This window comes from Homo sapiens, chromosome 13, assembly GCF_000001405.40.
Source record: "Homo sapiens chromosome 13, GRCh38.p14 Primary Assembly".
In the NCBI taxonomy this organism is placed as follows: Eukaryota; Metazoa; Chordata; class Mammalia; order Primates; family Hominidae; genus Homo; species Homo sapiens.
In genome coordinates this window covers 113021740-113040675 of record NC_000013.11, presented here as the reverse complement: position 1 = coordinate 113040675, position 18936 = coordinate 113021740, and the positions used below count along the sequence as shown (strand labels likewise).

General features: G+C 54.8%; 1 protein-coding gene across 25 annotated transcripts in view, besides 6 other annotated features; it reads right to left on the bottom strand.

Annotated features, from left to right (window-relative positions):
- Positions 1 to 18936, bottom strand: part of MCF2L (MCF.2 cell line derived transforming sequence like) — a 205408-nt gene that overhangs the window by 59067 nt on the left and 127405 nt on the right. For all 25 annotated transcript variants that reach the window (NM_001438391.1, NM_001438392.1, NM_001438393.1 and 22 more), the window contains one exon: positions 15918 to 16032. In NM_001438391.1, coding sequence (NP_001425320.1) covers positions 15918 to 16032 — 115 coding nt within the window. The remainder of the gene's footprint in view (positions 1 to 15917; positions 16033 to 18936) is intronic.
- Positions 5367 to 5661: a silencer, noted in NCBI's record as "tiled region #5526; K562 Repressive DNase matched - State 12:CtcfO". NCBI's record gives its function as "represses a minimal TATA promoter and a strong SV40 promoter by Sharpr-MPRA in K562 cells {active_cell/tissue: K562}" and the evidence as "EXISTENCE:reporter gene assay evidence [ECO:0000049][PMID:27701403]".
- Positions 10258 to 10782: an enhancer, noted in NCBI's record as "H3K4me1 hESC enhancer chr13:113684208-113684732 (GRCh37/hg19 assembly coordinates)". NCBI's record gives its function as "activates a minimal SCP1, AML or CMV promoter by ChIP-STARR-seq in naive and primed H9 embryonic stem cells {active_cell/tissue: H9 hESC(naive and primed)}" and the evidence as "EXISTENCE:reporter gene assay evidence [ECO:0000049][PMID:30033119]".
- Positions 12370 to 12869: an enhancer, noted in NCBI's record as "H3K4me1 hESC enhancer chr13:113682121-113682620 (GRCh37/hg19 assembly coordinates)". NCBI's record gives its function as "activates a minimal SCP1, AML or CMV promoter by ChIP-STARR-seq in naive H9 embryonic stem cells {active_cell/tissue: H9 hESC(naive)}" and the evidence as "EXISTENCE:reporter gene assay evidence [ECO:0000049][PMID:30033119]".
- Positions 12870 to 13371: an enhancer, noted in NCBI's record as "H3K4me1 hESC enhancer chr13:113681619-113682120 (GRCh37/hg19 assembly coordinates)". NCBI's record gives its function as "activates a minimal SCP1, AML or CMV promoter by ChIP-STARR-seq in primed H9 embryonic stem cells {active_cell/tissue: H9 hESC(primed)}" and the evidence as "EXISTENCE:reporter gene assay evidence [ECO:0000049][PMID:30033119]".
- Positions 17393 to 18028: an enhancer, noted in NCBI's record as "OCT4-NANOG-H3K27ac-H3K4me1 hESC enhancer chr13:113676962-113677597 (GRCh37/hg19 assembly coordinates)". NCBI's record gives its function as "activates a minimal SCP1, AML or CMV promoter by ChIP-STARR-seq in naive H9 embryonic stem cells {active_cell/tissue: H9 hESC(naive)}" and the evidence as "EXISTENCE:reporter gene assay evidence [ECO:0000049][PMID:30033119]".
- Positions 18029 to 18663: an enhancer, noted in NCBI's record as "H3K27ac-H3K4me1 hESC enhancer chr13:113676327-113676961 (GRCh37/hg19 assembly coordinates)". NCBI's record gives its function as "activates a minimal SCP1, AML or CMV promoter by ChIP-STARR-seq in naive H9 embryonic stem cells {active_cell/tissue: H9 hESC(naive)}" and the evidence as "EXISTENCE:reporter gene assay evidence [ECO:0000049][PMID:30033119]".

The following is an 18936-nucleotide window of genomic DNA, read 5'->3' as shown; positions in this document are numbered from 1 at the left end:
CCAGGGCAGGGGCAGGTGGAGGCCAGGACACGGGAGGAGCAGTGCTTGCAGAGGGCAGCAGACCTTAGGAATCAACAGTGCGTGGCCAGGAGGCGCTGAGGGGACGTGAGGCCTGGGTGGGAGGAAGGGGACCCTTGGTGTCTTTGCTTCTCAAACGTCAACCTGCACCCAAGATGAGAAGAGGAGTCTGGGAGAAGGGTCCCTGCACAGCAGGGTGGCTGTGTCCTCAGGAAAAGAAACACACACACACACACACACACACAGGAAGGCCCTCCCTGCACAGTGCGACTCGGTTACCTTGGCCCATCTGGGATAGAGTAGGTGGCACCTAAGTTCTTTTCCTTGGAGGACACCATTCTTTATGTGAATACTTTGTCCAATTATAATGCACATCATGCAGAAGCACAGAGTGTGAGTGACGGCAGCGAGTGCCCAGACTGAGAGGCCGTTCCCACCGTCCAGGGTGCCCCATCCCGACTCTTGTCACCATACATTAGTTTTGCCTGCCGTTGAATTTTGTCCAAATAAAAATATACAATATGTGCTTTTTTGCTGTCTGGCTTCTTTCAACATTGTGGGATTCACCCATGTTGTTGCAGTAGGGTGTCTGTTCATTCTTGTTGCTGGGTTATGGTATACATATATGATGAAATATGATTTATTAATAAATTCTACTCTTAATGGACATTTGGGTTGTTTCCAGTTTGGGGCTAAACTGAACATAAGACAATGAGCTTCTTATACATGTCTTCTAGTGCACACAATACACACTCCTGTTGGACATATTCTTAGGAATTGCTGTAATTATGTAGATGTGGACAAATGTACACCTGCCAGAAATGCACGTGACTTCTGGTTGCTCCATGGTTTTGTCAGCACTGGATACTGTCTGTCAGTAGAATTTTAGCCACTCTTGTGGATACAGAGTGGCGTCCTGATATGGCTTTAATTGGCATTTCCCAGAGGCAGGAAGCCTTCTGTGTCTAGTGGCTATCCTCTTTTATGATATGCCTGTTCACATCTTTTGGTTGTTTTTCTACTAGATTCTCCTTTAACTTGTTGGTGTGTAGTTCTCTGTATAGGCTAGAAACAAGTTTCTTATTGGATGTGCATATTGCAAACATCTGCTTCCACACTGTGGCTTTCCGTGTCGATCTCTTCATGGTTCATTTTGATGAAAAGAGTAACTTAACTTTAATGTAGCCCAATTTACTGACCTTTTCCTTTCTGATAATTGCTTTTTTGATAACTGCTTTTTAAACCTTGCGTAAGAAATCTTTTCTTACTCTGAAATAGGCATTTTCCTATGTTTGTCGAGAATAGAGACTATATTACTTTAGAGTTCACATTTACACCTGTGATCTATTTGGAATTAACTTTTGTATATGGTGTGAGGCAGGTATCAGCATTCATAATTTCCCACACAGACAGCCAATCACATCCACTCCTCTTACTGAGGACGTCCATCCCCCTCTGTGCTACAGTATCACTTAAGAAATAAATCAAGAGACTGCAATGGCCGGGCGCGGTGGCTCACGCCTATAATCCTAGCACTTTGGGAGGCTGAGGAGGGCGGATCATGAGGTCAGGAGATCGAGACCATCCAGGCTAACACGGTGAAACCCCGTCTCTACTAAAAATACAAAAAAAATCAGCAGGGCGTGGTGGCGGGCGCCTGTAGTCCCAGCTATGCGGGAGGCTAAGGCAGGAGAATGGCGTGAACCCGGGAGGCGGCGCTTGCAGTGAGCCGAGATAGCACCATTGCACTCCAGCCTGGGTGACACAGCGAGACTCCGCCTCAAAAATAAATAAATAAATCAATAAATAAATCAAGAGACTGCAGATGTGTGGTCTGTCTGGATTCAATATTCTGTGCTGCTGCTCTTCTGTTTACACCATCTGTGTTAATCACTGTCACTTTAATAATGTCTTAATATTTGGCAGTATCAGCTTTCAACTTTTTTCTTCAAAGTTGGGTGACTATTCCTCACCCCTTGCATTTTCATATAAAATGTAAAGGCAGCCTGCCAATGTTCACACCTAAATAAAGAAAAACCTGCTGGAATTTTATTTGGGAACTGCATTCGATCTATATGTTTATTTAGAGAGAATTAACATTGTTATAATACTAATTGTCTTCTAATCTGTGAACTAAAATATTCTTCCATTTATTCATGCTACTTTAATTTCTTTCTTTTTTTTTTTTTTTTTGAGATGGAGGCTCGCTCTGTCACCCAGGCTGGAGTGCAGTGGCGCGATATCAGCTCACTGCAAGCTCCGCCTTCCGGGTTCAGGCCATTCTCCTGCCTCAGCCTCCCGAGTAGCTGGGACTACAGGTGCCCACCACCACACCCTGCTAATTTTTTGTATTTTTAGTAGAGACAGGGTTTCACCATGTTAGCCAGGATGATCTCGATCTCCTGACCTCGTGATCCACCCACCTCGGCCTCCCAAAGTGCTGGGATTATAGGCATGAGCCACTGTGCCTGGCCCCTTTAATTTCTTTCAATAACATTTTGCAGTTTTCTGCTTAGAAGTCTTGCACGTCTTTTATTAGATATGATTTTATTCCTATGTACTCAATTTTGATGTGATTATAAGTGATATCTATAAATTTCATTTTCCAATTGTACATCATTGATATATATAAAAATACTAAAATACAATTAAGTTTAGTATATTGACCCCTGCCCATTGATCTTGCTAAATTACTTACTCAGCTTAAGAGTCTGACTGTTACTTAATTTGGATTTTCTTCATACACAACCACATTGTCTACAAATAATGAATGATACCTGTGTTTCTTACTGTTTCAATCCTTAAGACTTTTCTTTTCTTGTCTTGTTGTCTGCCTGGTACCTCCAAGCACAATCCTGAATAGAAATGAGAACAGTGTTCCTGACCTCAGCGGCAAAGCGTTCAATACCTCACCATGAAATGCAGAAAGTGGGGCTCACCTCTGTAAAATTCCAGAACCTGGCTCCCCAAGTCCTGGCTGCCTCTGCAGCCTCTCAATCCCTCAAACATATTTTTAAACAAAATTTTACCCAGGTTTTACAGTTGCTCTTTGTGGAAATATCAGTTGGCTACAAGATACTCTATTAGAGCCAGAATGGAAGTAGGTAGTGGGTTTTGAACCTGTTTCCATCTAACAGAAACATTTACATGAATGATGACAAATGTAACCCAGGTCGAAAGGGGTATCCTGGCTCTGAACCAGTTTAGTCTGACCTGAGTCTCCGACCCCATGCTCTGCAGATGTTCAACCAACTCTCCAAGGTCCCTACAAATGGTGCCGCTGGGCAGGGGTGGTTTCATCTTTGGTTACAATTCCCTGCTTCCCCAGAACTTGTGTTCTTCACTCTGTCTAGCTCAACTCTGCCCTGGCCTGCCCTCCACCTTCTACTCCTAGGGGCTCAGCAAGGTGCTTTCTATCGTGGTCGTTATCATCATCCTAACAGCACACAGAGCTTAGGACGCAAGCCAAGGGTTCAGCCAGCTTGTGGGGCTCCACTGTGCACAGATGCCAAGAACACGGCAGGCTGTTAGTCGAGAGGAATTCTTCTAGGATGACACGCTTGCACCTCCCCCAGCCCCTCTCTGCACTGAGATGGACAGGAGGGCCGCTGGACCGCACGGCACTAAGTTCAAGTCTGGGGGTTCCAAACACCAGTGTGCAGACCAGTGCCAGATGGATGCAAGAGAAACATCCGGGAGCTTGCTACAACGCAGGTCTTCTCGGGCCACTCCTGGATATTCTGATGTGATGATTTGAGAGTGAGGCCTAGGAATTCATGGTTGTTAAAAGTTCCACTTGGTATCTGAACCCCATGGACTGGATAGGAATAACACAAATAGAGGCTTGGAGTCCTCTGAGAGTCAGGGTCTGGTGGAGGAGTTGGGGGGCCACCCACTGGCAGCAGCCAGGAGGCAGGAGGAACACAAGGGGAGCATGATATCGCAGACACCTGAAGAAAGGCGCGAGCTCAGAGGGCTCCTGGGTGAGAGGACAGGGTCGCCTGCGACACACGCACTCCTGGGGATGCGGGGCCGGGACAGCGCGTCCTTCTGTGGGTGGCTGCTGCCACTCACCCACCCCGCACTTGCCCCCACCACTGCCGTTGCCCTCCATGGAATCAGCCCCACCTGATGCCCTGGCCTGCTTTATTCTCCTGCTCTCTGTGCCCAGTTGCCTGTGGGCAGCTGGCATCTCACGCAAAGCTCGTAGGAAAAGCCCCCCAGAGCACAGAGACACAGGCAGCCTTGGTTGCCCAAGCACATCTGTGATCCCTAAAACCCAACACATTCATAAAGAAATAGCGAAAGAAAAGTGTTACTTAAAATTGTCTTAGAACTCTGGCTGTGGAAAGCAAACCAGCCTCAGTTAACTTATGTATAAAAGGAAGGAAGACCTATGACACAATTAAAAGAGAATGGTGGCGTCATTCTCATTTCCAAAGACTCCTCTGTGAGCTTCTGCAACACTGGCCAACTGCGAACTCAGAATCAGGCTGCGGTCTGTGGGACTGAGGTGCCTCTGGGCATGGAGAATGGGTCCTTGGAATTATAGACACGAGTGTTGTCTATAATAACAAAATCCACTAATGTGACTGCAGCAGTGTTGTTTGTGATGCAAAATCCTGACCTGCAGCCATCCTCCACCTGCTGAGGCCAAACATCCCTCAGGCCCCTGCTGTACCACGGAGATGATACTCTACCTGCTGAGGTCAAACATCCCTTAGGCCCCTGCTGTACCAGAGAGGAAGGCCCCATCGCCTGTCACACAGACTCACTACCAAAGGGGCCTCTGCCATTTTAAACGTGCAGAAACTGAGGAACGCAGAAGTGAATGACATATCCAGGGTCAAACAGCTAACAAGTGGGGCGCTGGGGTCTGAGCCCAGAGCCTACCTGGTAAACACTGGGGTCTCTGATCGCTCACACCACAGTAAGACCTTAAAATCTCCATCCTCCAAGGAGCTTCGCGGGGAGGGCAGATAACACAGGAGCTCCCTGCAGGACCTGTGCCCACCCGAATCCATGGAGGCGGCCGGCCACGAAGCTGTCCTGGGGGACACGGGAACCGCATCCTCATGGAAGAAAAAGGCAGCAGGCGAAGGAGCCAGGGAGGGGGCCAGAGGAGGGGAGACAGGACCCCTGAGGGATCAGACACCCAGAGCTGCACATCGCAGAGGGGGTTTGAGGCGGAAAACGGCAAAACAGACTGCAGAGCCGGGTGAGGTCAGAGGACCTGGTTTCCCGCCAAGGAAGTCTCTGTGGCTGCAGGAAATAATTCTGTGGCTTGTAAATATTAAAAACCTCACTGTCAGGACGTCTTACCTGAGTAGGGTCATTTATTAGGGTTTACAGACAGGCCTTAGAGTAAAATATGCACGATTCATAAGTGCACTACATGGTAGTTACAGCAGGACACAAAAATTAAACGTGAAGCAATGAGAGCGTCAGAGTCACCCAGAGAAGCCGCCCCAGTTTCAACATTTTTCCAAAAGCTGCGGTTGCCCAGCTGCACCCTCGTGTGGTTGGAAGTGAATATCACAAGTGTTCCCGTCGGGAATGGTGAGGTCTGCACGGGGGTGCTGAACGTGGACAGGAACCCTTCCTCCCGAGGGGCTTCACGGGGGCCATGCTCTTCCTCCTTTTCCCGCCCTCCGGTGTGGGCGCCATAGGTCCCTTGCTATCAGGGCGCTCACCCTGATGCCACCGCCCGGGACTGCGGGCCTGCCTTGCCTCGGGCAGACCTTCCTCACCTCGGGCAGACCTTCCTCACCTCGGGCAGACCTTCCTCACCTCCGATCTGTGGCTCTTTGGCCACAGCAGCCCCTAACCTCCGGGGACTGTCACTCCCCAAGGAAGGTCGGTTCTGAGCTGTGTCTGGACCCTGAGCACAGACACTGCAACCCCGGGCCTTGTCTTTCTGCTCATGCCGGTGAGACCAGGGCAAGGGCAAGGGCGCGGGTGAGACCAGGGTGAGGGTGAGACCAGGGTGAGGGTGAGACCAGGGCAAGGGCGAGGGCGTGGGTGAGACCAGGGCGAGGGTGAGACCAGGGTGAGGGCGAGGGTGAGACCAGGGCGAGGGAGAAGGTGAGGGCGAGGGTGAGACCAGGGCGAGGGTGAGGGTGAGGGTGAGGGCACTCACTCCTCCAGGACGGAGCCAGCATAACCATCGTGCAGCCCAATAAGCAGCCATTGGTCATGTGTGAATGAAAATGAGGCTGCCTGGCCGGGCATGGTGGCTCACGCCAGTAATCCCAGCACTTTGGGAAGCTGAGGCAGGTGGATCATTTGAGCCCAGGAGTTCAAGACCAACCTGGGCAACATGGTGAAACCCCATCTCTACAAAAAATACAAAAATTAGCCGGGCGTGGTGGCATGCGCCTGTCATCCCAGCTACTCGGGAGGCTGAGGTGGGAGGATCACCTGAGCTGGGAAGGTTGAGGCTGCAGTGAGCCAAGATCGTGCCACCGCACTCCAGCCTGGGCGACAGAGCCAGACGCATCTCCAAAAAAAAAAAAAAAAAAAGAGGCAGCCCTGCCTGCCATGGGCTGGATTTTTAATTTTATTTTGCTTTCATTTTACATTTAAATGGCCACAGGTGGTCAGTAGCTGTTGAATTCAACAGCAGTAACAGAAAAGGACCTGGGGAACACGTTTTGGGAAGGTGCGGGGAGAGGACCTCGGGGGGAGGTGGTCACCGCGGTGCGTGCAGAACCCGGAGGAAGGAATGGCAGGGCCTCCGCGACTTGTCCCCAGTGCTCAGAAGCAGCAGACTCCATGAACAAAATGCTGATGTGGAGACGGGAAACACACCTGAGAGGTGGCTTCCCACCCAGCACAGCGCACAGACACCTGGGCCGCGTGATGTCTCCTGGTTCCTCCTAACGAGGCTGGCTGTGGGTGGCAGAGCTTCCACTCAGGGCTTCAGACCATGGAGGGCGACCGGGGCCAGCACAGCCTCAGGCCAGCCAGAGATGGCAGACAAGGGTAGCCCTGAAACTGCCAACTCCGTTGGGGTGGGGGGGGGAAATCACCCAGCTGGAGCATTTGAGAACTGCCAGAAACAGGGCACAATCTCACAGACAGAACACCATGGCGGGGCGACCCTTTACAGCAGTGACCCCAACAGGGAAACAGTGGGGACCACGAAATGCCCGCGAACAGGCCCAAGTGAGCACACGGGGTCACTCACGCCACGGGGGCCACTCACATCACGGGGGCCACTCACATCATGGGGGCCACTCACGCCACGGGGTCCACTCACATCACGGGGGCCACTCACGTCACGGGGGCCACTCACGCCACGGGGTCCACTAATGTCACGGGGGCCACTCACGCCACAGGGGCCACTCACGCCACGGGGTCCACTAATGTCACAGGGGCCACTCACGCCACGGGGTCCACTAATGTCACGGGGGCCACTCACGTCACGGGGGCCACTCATGTCACGGGGGCCACTCACGTCACGGGGTCCACTCACGTCATGGGGGCCACTCACGCCACGGGGTCCACTAATGTCACGGGGGCCACTCACATCACGGGGGCCACTCACGTCATGGCAGCCACTCATGCCACGGGGTCCACTAATGTCACAGGGGCCACTCACGTCATGGGGGCCACTCACGCCACGGGGTCCACTAATGTCACGGGGGCCACTCACATCACGGGGGCCACTCACATCACAGGGTCCACTCACATCACGGGGTCCACTCACGTCACGGGGGCCAGCCCAAGTGAGCACACCAGGTCCGCTTACATCACAGGGGCCAGGAAGCCTTTAAAAGGAAGGCACAGGCGGGCACGATGGCTCACATCTGTAATCCCAGCACTTTGGAGGCCAAGGTGGGTGGATCACTCGAACCCAAGAATTCTAGATCAGCCTGGGTAACATGGTGAGACTCCATTTCTACAGAAAATACCCAAATTAGCCGGGTGTGGTGGCTCATGCCTGCAGTCCCAGCTACTCAGGAGACTGAGGCAGGAGGATCACCTTGGGCCCAGGAGGTTGAGGTGGCAGTGAGCTGAGATCCTGCCACTGCACTCCAGTCTGGGTGACAGAGCAAGACCCTGTCTCAAAACATGAAAAAAAAATATATAAAATGAAAGGCAGCAGCAAATGGCGCCAAGGTAGAAGGGCGCCACGACACACCGCTGAACAGAAGCAGCAAGCTGCGAGGCGGCATGTCCTGTGCTGTCCCACCACACGTGGATGAACAGCCTGGGTGTCACCCCAGTGCAGCTCCACAGTTAGCTGTGGGGGAGGGAAGCAGGAGGTGAAGTGGAAGCTTCACTTTTTAATGCACACGTATTAAATTGTTTAGCACGCTCACACACGCTCACAGACACTTCCTGTCCTTATATTCAAAAGCCAATTCAAAGTTCAATAGGAAATCAAACCCACAGCGAGAAGTGGGGCTCTTCCAAGGGCTGGGGTCCAGCTGCCCTCCAGCTCAGACAGCAGGACAGGGTGCTCAGGTCACCGCAGGGGGACGACAAACCGAGTTGGCTCCAGGTGCTTATCTTAGAATCAGTGAGATAGGAGGACTCTCCTCTTGACTGGAAGCCTAATGATTACATTCGTGTTTCTGTTGCGTCCCACATGCACCCTCCCCATACACCACACAAACTGTGCATGCATGTGGTGTGTACATGTGCAGGTCTGTGGGGGGGTATGCATGCACTTGCATGTGTGTGTGTGCGCACGTGTGTGGTTATACACATGCACATCTGTGTATGTAAGTGCATGAGTGCCTGCGTGTCTGCGTGCATCTGTGTGTGTGTGTGTGTGTGTGTGGCATGTGCAAGCCTGTGTAGGTGCGTGTGTGCATCTGTATGTGTACATGCCTCTTATGGGCTGAATGTGACCCCTGTCCCGGCAAGCTGGCTGGTAGATGGAGTCCCTACCTCCCAAGGAGCTGGGAGCTTTGAGCCAGGCCCATGGAAAGTAAGCGTCATCATCAGCTTCAGTGAATTCCTTCCACACTGCTCCTCCAGCAAGCTCCAGGCTTCCCACCTCGTCCCTTCTCTGAGGGCCGCCGCCCTCCTCCCCATCTCCCAGCTCCTCCCTCCACCCCGCATTCTCCCTCCACCCTGCATTCTGGCAGCTCATGAACTCTTTGGCACCCACTTCACAGAAAACACAGCTCCTCAGAAAAGGCTCCACAGACCCTGTCTCACCTCCCAGACTCTGTCCCTACAGCCCCCGACTCCCCGGCACTCTGTCCTGCCCCCTGGTGCGTTCGCTGCCCCCAAAGATGCCGCTGGCGCCCTCCTGGGATCTCTGTGACGAATGCTTCCCAGTTTACATTAAGTTCCTTGTCTGCAGTGATGCTGCCACCCCTGCCCTCTGCCTCCCTCGTGCTCTCTTTATCTCTGTGTCTCCGTGTCTCTGTCTGTCTGTCTCTATCTCTGTCACTCTCTGTCTCTTCTCTCTGTCTCTCTCTGTCTCTGTCTCTGTCTGTCTCTGTCTCTCTGTCTCTGTCTGTCACTCTCTGTCTCTTCTCTCTGTCTCTCTCTGTCTCTGTCTGTCTCTCTGTCACTCTCTGTCTCTGTCTCTCTCTGTCTCTGTCTCTGTCTGTATCTGTCTGTCTCTGTCTCTCTGTCTGTATCTGTCTGTCTCTGTCTCTCTGTCTCTCTTTCTTTCTCACATTGTTTTCCCACAGCCCTGCTGCCCTGTACGCCCTCCATAGCTGACATATTGTCTCAGCGCCACAATTTTCTCTGTTTATTTGCTGTTGTGTTCCCAGTGTGTGCTGACCACTGAGACTTCTCAGCAAGCAGTGCCTGGACACACAGGTCTGACCGTCTACCTGTGCATCTCCTCCCCGGCCATGTGGTTCTAAGGGGGCCATACAGGGTCTGGAATCTGCTTGTCGCTGGTCTCTATCGCCTCTCTGAGACCTTGGCTCCTATCAAGGCCTGGCCGATGTTGGTTAAATGGAGCTCCATTAGGAGTAGGAAGGGCTATAGGGTTTTCAGAGATCCGAACCTGCCCTCTGACGAACGAGGGCCCACACCTGTGTCGGCAGACACCCGAGGGCCCACACCTGCATCAGCGGACACCTGAGAGTCCACACCTGCGTCGGCGGACACCCGAGGGCCCACATCTGCGTCGGTGGACACCCGAGGGCCCACACCTGCATCAGCGGACACCTGAGAGTCCACACCGGGCGTCGGCGGACACCCGAGGGCCCACACCTGCGTCAGCGGACACCTGAGAGTCCACACCGGGCGTCGGCGGACACCCGAGGGCCCACATCTGCGTCGGCGGACACCCGAGGGCCCACACCTGCGTCAGCGGACACCTGAGAGTCCACACCGGGCGTCGGCAGACACCTGAGGGTCCACACCGGGCGTCGGCGGACACCCGAGGGCCCACACCTGCATCAGTGGACACCCGAGGGTCCACACCTGCGTCAGCGGACACCTGAGAGTCCACACCGGGCGTCGGCAGACACCTGAGTCAGCAAAGCACGAGCTCACCCCCTTCGCCCTGATGAGTCGTCTTTCCAAGGACCAAAAACTTGGTTTATATTAACAGGTGCCCCAAACCATTTGGGGCAAACCTATTTCAGTCTAATATTCCAAAAATGATGAGTATAGTCAGATGTAGTGCTTAAATTGGGACACCTGGCATTTGCATATGAAAACAGAAGGAAAGTTAAAATTAGAATACAACATTCTTTCTAAATTGATAAAAGTGATGCTTGGTTTAGAATGTAACAGTTGAAACCCCTTAAAAGCAGCCTTCACGAGAGATTTGTCCATTTAATTTGCATTGACATGTGAAAGAACAGGCCTGGTCAATTTCACTTTTTTCCCACTTAAAGAATGTGCTGGCTGTGCAGCTGTCTGGAAACTGCGTGCTGGGGAACCGCCTGTGCCAGGGTCTCGTCCACCATCTCCTGGAAGAAAAGGTCCAAGCTCCCCTCCCTCTCTTGGTCTCCCAGGGATGTCCCGGGACCGAGCCGCAATGCTCCGCGTCTCCAGCAGAGGGCAGCCCCGCCCCCACCTTGGGAAGAGGGTCCCCCGCAGAGGGTACTTCCCGGGGACACAGCACCCTCAGGGCGCAGTGGGCAGGTCTCCTCCTTGTCACTAGCCTGGCAATTTTGCTCGCCAGGGATGCAGAGACTTCCTCTGGGACGGTCCCCTCTGCCAAGCTGCACCTGCAAGGCTTGCAGGGACCCTGGTTTTATCTGCAGAGGCCATGATTGACCCCCACATTTTTAACACACTCTGCACTTCTCAAGAAGGCATCCCGTAGATGCCCTTAGGAAGAAGATTTCCCTTAGAAATGTGTCAAGAATTGTTCACTCTCTCTGGAAGGACATGCTCAATGGCAACACCCTGGAGGCACGGGGTCCCCACAGCACGCCTGCAGCCCCGTGCTCACAGAAATCCAGGGGAGCTGCCGCGGCTGCTGCGCCCTAGGATGCCGGGACAGCCAGGGGACAGGTGGCTCTTACAGGCCCGCAGCTTCCCTTCTGTGGGTCCTTCTGATCAGGGCACATGGGCGTCCTCCCAAATTCACACAGGTTGGGTTTTGTTATCAAAGAGTTTTATTTCCAGATAGAAAGGGAGCATTGGGTCTGACACTGATGAGACCTACCTGGGAAGAAAGGAAACGTGGGTAGAATGCACGCATACACTCACGCTCACACACACCCCCCACACACCACACCCCACACTCACCCCACACATGCCTCACATAGTCCACACATACCACACACACCACTTACCCCACACATGCCACATGCTCACATTACACACACACCACACATACCCCACACACACCCCGCACACGCCACACACACCACACACTCACCCCACACACACCACAGGCTCACATTACACACACTCACACCACACACTCAGACACCCACACTGAGTCTGGTGGGGGAAACAGCTCCACGGTCAGCAGCACTGCTCATGGCTGAATGAAGCTGGCATTTCCAGGATCTGATTTAGAGCGTTTGGTGATAGAAAGGCCTCTTCCACTTTTTATTATCTAAGTGTGACCAGAAAACCTGAGTTTCCATACACAGGTGAACAGTGGGGATCCATGGAGCTGCCTCTGAGCAACCTGGGGCCCGCGTGTCCACAGCGGGGACTGGGCCTGCGCTCCGGCCACCTTCAGCCAGACCAGGCTGTGCGACTCACAGATGCGCAATCTACAGAGGTGGCTGAGTGGGTCTTGTCCTGCAGGAGTCTGGACCCATCTGAGATTCCTGGATCTCAGGAGAAGCAGACAGACAAGTGGGGCAGCAGCAAGGAGGCCATGGAAGGTTCCAGAACATCGGATAAACAGAGGCGTGCACACATGAACACGTGCCGCCTACCACACTCTTATGGCCTTGATGGGTGGCCTTTGAGTGCTGCAGATTCTAGACAAATCTCAAGAAAAGGGATGTGGGTAGCTAAGGAACTCCGCAGATTCTAGAAAAATCTTGAGAAAGGGATGTGGGTAGCTAAGGGACTCCATGAAGTTTCTAAGACAAAAGAGACAGGAAGGTTCAACAAACAGGAGGCGCCCCAGCTCATGGCTCCAAGTAGCAAGCACTGACAACAGCCCTGATTTCTGAGCATGAGTCTGACCAGTCAGCATTCAGTGTGGACACCACAGAATCTCATTTAGCCCCATGCCAGGAGGTGCCATCAGGGGGCGGATGTACCTGTCAGGCCGGCCGTCCCCTGGGACACAGGCCCTTCCTCCTGTGCAGGTGACAGACAAAGGCCTGGAGGCTTGGAGATGACCGCCCTCCCCAGGACACCCCTCTGGCCACAGCACACCTGGAGCCTACGTCCTCGGGGTACGGCCATGTGGTCTGAGCCTTCGGGCGCTCCCCTGCCCAGCCATCCCCTTTCTCCAGCCATCACCGTGTTATTAAGCCTCATCTATAACATGGGCTTAATAACTGCCTTCCTGCCACAGTGTGGCTGAGAACCAGGGAGGAATGTGTGGAAACCGTCTGCAGCATCGCAGCCTTGCCCCACCAAGCCGGTCCCATCAGCCCCTCAGGGAGCTCGGCCGCTCGGCCCGAGACCCAGCCCCTCCTCCGTGCACTCAGCTCAGCCAGCAGAGCCTGGCGCATAGGGGGTGCAAGATTCTCACAACAGACAAGAGACTGAGGTCAAAACCACAAACCCAACACACAGTGATTTGGGGCTACCAGGACACCGCCATGTCCAGGGCTTTGACCATAGTCAGTCACGAGCCCCCTTCTTTCTGCCCACCAAGACGTCCTGCCCCCGAAAGGCCCACCGGTGAGGCTCCCTGCTCCTCCAGCTCCCACCTCAACCCGCCAAGTGGACAGAGGTGCCCACCGCTCTCCCTCTCCTTGAGGCATGACTGCAGAGGCTGGCTGCTGCCAGCTGGTGGTTATGTGATATTTATCAGGGGATCAATGTGCTGCTTTCCAGGTCAGGCCGACGGGCTGAGCTCTCAGTTACCAGGCCCAGTGCGCTGTTGTCTTTAAAGACTGAAGAATGAAGAACCTTCACGGTAATGGCCACGGCTGCACTTTCACGCTGATGGTTAAACATCTCCTCTGTGTTTTGCCACCTTATGTAATGTGCGGGATACAGATGCCATATTTAAGGATATTTCTGTTTTTACTTGGTGTGTGTTCACTATACCCCAAATGGAAGCAGCAACTACACTGTCTGGTGTGAGGCTGACATTCTCAGCATCTTCCTGGAGGCTGGGACGAGCACATCAGATGAGAGACCCCCGCGGCACCCCTCCCAAGTCAGCCTGCAGCTCACCGGCCTGATGCTGCTCTCCTGCCCGCCGCTGGGGAGACACAGAACTGGGCTCCCTACCTTTTCAGAGGACAGGGACCCAGCTCTGTCTGGAACAAAACAAAAAACTGCAGCCTGAGGGAACCATTTTTGTTAACTGGATTTTCTGGTACCTCTGGGGTCAGTTCTTTCCTGGAAAGGGCAGGAGGCGGCCACGCCCCCAGGGCCTGACCACGACACAGAGAGGCCACGTGGACGGGCTCTGCTCCCATGAGCATCAGGTCCCGTGCAGATGGGCTCCTCGGCATTAAGAACACAGAAGCCCTCGCACCGCAGAACTCTGCTGATCGAACAGGCATGCGCAGTGATGGTATACGAGGGAGCACAGCAGCGCTCAGGCTAAGTCAGATCCCGACTGCTGAGCAACTGGGCCTCCAGGTGGGCCTCCGAGCTCCAGGAAAAAACGGCAGCTCAGGAGCGAAAAAGCTGGATTCGGACCCCAGATCAGATCTGAGGCAGACTCCTGAGCTCCTCGGAACCATGATGCTGACAAAGCTCTAACCCCTCAGCAAAGCCACGGGGAACTCAATGATGGCTCCCAGAGACCCTAATTCATCCTGCAGTCACGGGGACCCCACCATGGTGGAACCTCACAGAGACTCTGCCCCGACCCACAGTCACGGGGACCCCAGCCTGGTGGAACCTCACAGAGACTCTGCCCCGACCCACAGTCACGGGGACCCCACCATGGTGGAACCTCACAGAGACTCTGCCCCGACCCACAGTCACGGGGACCCCACCATGATGAAACCTCACAGAGACTCTGCCCCGACCCACAGTCACGGGGACCGCATGATGGGGAAATCTCACAGGGACTCTGCCCCGACCCACAGTCACGGGGACCCCACCATGATGAAACCTCACGGAGACTCTGCCCCGACCCACAGTCACGGGGACCCCATGACGGGGAAATCTCACAGGGACTCTGCCCCGACCCACAGTCACGGGGACCCCACAATGGGGAAACCTCACAGGGACTCTGCCCCGACCCACAGTCACGGGGACCCCACCATGATGAAACCTCACAGAGACTCTGCCCCGACCCACAGTCACGGGGACCCCATGACAGGGAAATCTCACAGGGACTCTGCCTCATCCCATAGTTGCAGGGACCCCACCCTGGTGAAATCTCACAGGGACTCTGCCCCGACCCACAGTCACGGGGACCCCATGACAGGGAAATCTCACAGGGACTCTGCCTCATCCCATAGTTGCAGGGACCCCACAATGGGGAAACCTCACAGGGACTCTGCCCCGACCCACAGTCACGGGGACCCCACCATGATGAAACCTCCCAGAGACTCTGCCCCAACCCACAGTCACGGGGACCCCACGATGATGAAACCTCACAGAGACTCTGCCCCGACCCACAGTCACGGGGACCCCACCATGATGAAACCTCACAGAGACTCTGCCCCGACCCACAGTCACGGGGACCCCACCATGATGAAACCTCACAGAGACTCTGCCCCGACCCACAGTCACGGGGACCCCACCATGACGAAACCTCACAGAGACTCTGCCCCGACCCACAGTCACGGGGACCCCACCATGATGAAACCTCACGGAGACTCTGCCCTGACCCACAGTCACGGGGACCCCATGACGGGGAAATCTCACAGGGACTCTGCCCCGACCCACAGTCACGGGGACCCCACAATGGGGAAACCTCACAGGGACTCTGCCCTGACCCACAGTCACGGGGACCGCATGATGGGGAAATCTCACAGGGACTCTGCCTCATCCCATAGTTGCAGGGACCCCACCCTGGTGAAATCTCACAGGGACTCTGCCCCGACCCACAGTCACGGGGACCCCACCATGATGAAACCTCACAGAGATTCTGCCCCAACCCACAGTCACGGGGACCCCACCATGATGAAACCTCACAGAGACTCTGCCCTGACCCACAGTCACGGGGACCGCATGATGGGGAAATCTCACAGGGACTCTGCCCCGACCCACAGTCACGGGGACCCCATGACAGGGAAATCTCACAGGGACTCTGCCTCATCCCATAGTTGCAGGGACCCCACCCTGGTGAAATCTCACAGGGACTCTGCCCCAAACCACAATGTCTGCCGGGCTCTGGGTGCACGTACCTGGGGATGCTGGTGAGGTAGGTCATGACATTCTGGAACTCCTTGTCCGGAATCTCGCTGAAGGCCGGGTAGTCAGGGAAGGTGATAACCGGGCTTCCGTCCTGCCCCCGCCCACCTGGGGAGAGACCAGAGGCAGACCCTTAGCCGAGGGCTCCATGCCCCCGGGGGTTCCACAGATGTCGGCCCGTTTTCATCAGCACCCAGTATTTCAGTTAAAACTGAGGCATGTTCTTCATCGTTGCATAATTTTTATTTGAAAGAAATGTGTGCTGCTTGAAGAAAATATTTGGAAAGTACACAAAAGTGATGTGAATTTAGACAATCACTCGTTATTTTGGCCACCATGGGACAGCTACCGTGACAATTCAACATGCTTCTTTCCAAGCCTTTTTCTATGGGCTTTTTTAACCTTGTTGAGGTGATACTGCATAGAGAAGCTTGTCTCCTGCCTCCTTCCTGACACTGAGAACAAACCGCTTCCATGCTTTTAAACAATGTAACCATTATTTTAAATATTGCATAATATTCCATATATGCATGTGCACTAATAACCTGCCTAACTGTACTGTTTGTGGGTATCGTCTAGCTTCTCCGACATTGGCGCCTTTTAAGCAATTCAATTCCAAAGAGCTCCATTCGAACACTGACTTTGGAGTCACACAGGCTGGGCTCCAGGTCTGCCTGCTGGAGCCGGCCACTGACCCTGCCACACTGCCTTGGCCGGACGGAGTCCATTTCCCTCCCCCGAGCCTGGGTCTGGCCTTGCGATCTGTTTTGCCCACAGGACTCAGCGGAAGTGAGCTTGGGACTCAGAACACTGCAGCTGCCCTCTCATGCCCTGTAGTCATTGGGCAGGTGGTCCCACGACCCTGCATCCACCTGCTCTGAGGAGGCCAGTACCCAGGGTTGAGGGTGGACTTTGTGAAAGGGCAGGGAGGTGGAGGTGCGGGACTGCAGCCCCCAGGACCTTCCAGCCCAGCCCCCATGAGGACACAGCTGAGCAGAGGACACAGTCAGTGCCCCGTGCGTGGAGTGAAGAACCACCTGGCTGAGCCCTTTTGGAACTTCTGAGCCACTAAATGAAGAATAAATCTGTAAAATAGGGCTTTTCAAGCTAACTAAGTTTAGGGTAGCTTTTTATGGAGAACAGATAATGGTGGGTTCGCCGCCCCTCATCCACGTCCTCACTGAGAAGACCCAGGGTGCACACAGCCTCCGACAACTGCAGCTTTGTCTCGTAACAGCGACAGTCCCCCGCCGCCTTGCGCCCCCCACAGCCACTGTCTCCAGCTTCCGGAACTTCTGCTTCTGGGTCTTGGCCAAGCCCAGCCACGCCAGGCAGGGCGGCTTTACCATCCAGTGATCCCGGGACGCTGGGCCCCCGAGGCTCCCTGTGGGCGTCTCCTCAGTACAGGGCTCCGTGGCCTCCTCCCGAGTCCTTGTCGGCACCCCTCAATGGGACATGACTCATTATCTGATACAATTGTTCTCACTTCGGCCAGGACGTCACACAAGCATATCTTTTCTCCCTCGCTCCTTCCTAACCTCCTTTGAGGGCTCATGCCTTGAGCCCATCCTGGCTGCCGAGTCTCTTAGAGGGCTGAGCCGAGGGGCGTCCACACACCGTGACGGCCCCCCTTCACCTGGGACAGCTCAGTCCCCGCAATGCTGCATTCTAAGGAAGCCCCCGAAGGGGAAGGCGGCTGCAGGGTCTGGCTTCATTGTGCTCTGATGACTTCTATCCTCCGAACTCTCCCAGCCCTCGAGGGCTCTTGACCTCTGCCCCCGTCTCTGGTGGCACATAATGCCCCATGCAGTGCTCAATAGAACGTGCCTGTCACTCACTCACAAACCTTTCATCATTGTTAATTCGCACTTCCTCTCGGAAAATTCCTCAGATCCCAATGATAAGAGGCCCTGGAGTGAACACTGCAGCCCTGTGTCCTCCTGTGCGAGTACGACAAGCCTCCCCTCAGCCGCCGCCGCGGTGGGGGCTCAAAGCCCCCTGGGATGTGGCTCACGCACGTCTCAGCTTCACGCAGCACCTACCACAATGATCAGGAACTCGTGGCAACTTTTCAGTCGCCATTAAAGGTAAGAGTGTTCTGCCGGGACAAGCCGAGGCAAGCGGCACGCCCCAGCTACGAGGTGGATTGTGGAAACGGCCGCAGCCTGCGCCTGCCTTTCCTTTCCCTGAAACGGGGCCTGGGGGGAACGTTCAGGGGCCAGAAGCTTCCAGCACCGCCCAGAAGCCTATGTGTGTGGAGTGACGCCGACGGCAGCTGGGGGCGGACCCTGCCTGTGTGTGAGACCCCCTGCGTCCCTGTGCAAATGGGCATGGGCCACGGCATGAGGACCCCTGGCCGGCGGGGGTGGGTGGGAGGGAGAAGCTGCTCCTTGGGGTACACTGGCTGTGGAGGGCCCAGCTAGGAAGAGGAGCGGATGCAACAAGATCCCCTCATGCCCAAACGTGGAGGCAGCCTGGGAGCTTGGAGTGGACGGTGGACACAACGTGGAGGCAGCCTGGGAGCTTGGAGTGGATGGTGGACACAGAGGTGGAGAGTGGCTCCCTCTCAGCACTGGCTGGCCCACCCACAGTGTGGAGGTGGCATCTGGGAGCTGCTGCCTCACTGGAACCACAGAGACCGGGGACCCCCAGAGGCCAGCCTGAGCCACAGGGTCGAGGGTGCAGTCAGCAGGGCAGCCTTGGGGCAGGAGCTAGCCACAGGAAGGCCTGGAGCCTCCAGCTGCCCAGGGGAGAGGATGGGGGCCAGGTGACCCGGAGCTGAAATCGCACGGGGGCCTGGCCTGGGCCGCACAGCCTCGTTCAGTTGGTAGCTGGTGCTGGTCTCAGGCTGCTGCTACCCTGGGTATCTCTGAACTCTCTGTGCTCCACCACAGCCTCAATGCAAAGCAAAGACCCTGTTCTTTCTTCCCAAGTCAGGAGTGGAAATCCCAGTCTGTCCACTGAGACTGAAAAGCAGGCGCCAAAGCTCCCAGTACCTGCAGGTTATGAGGC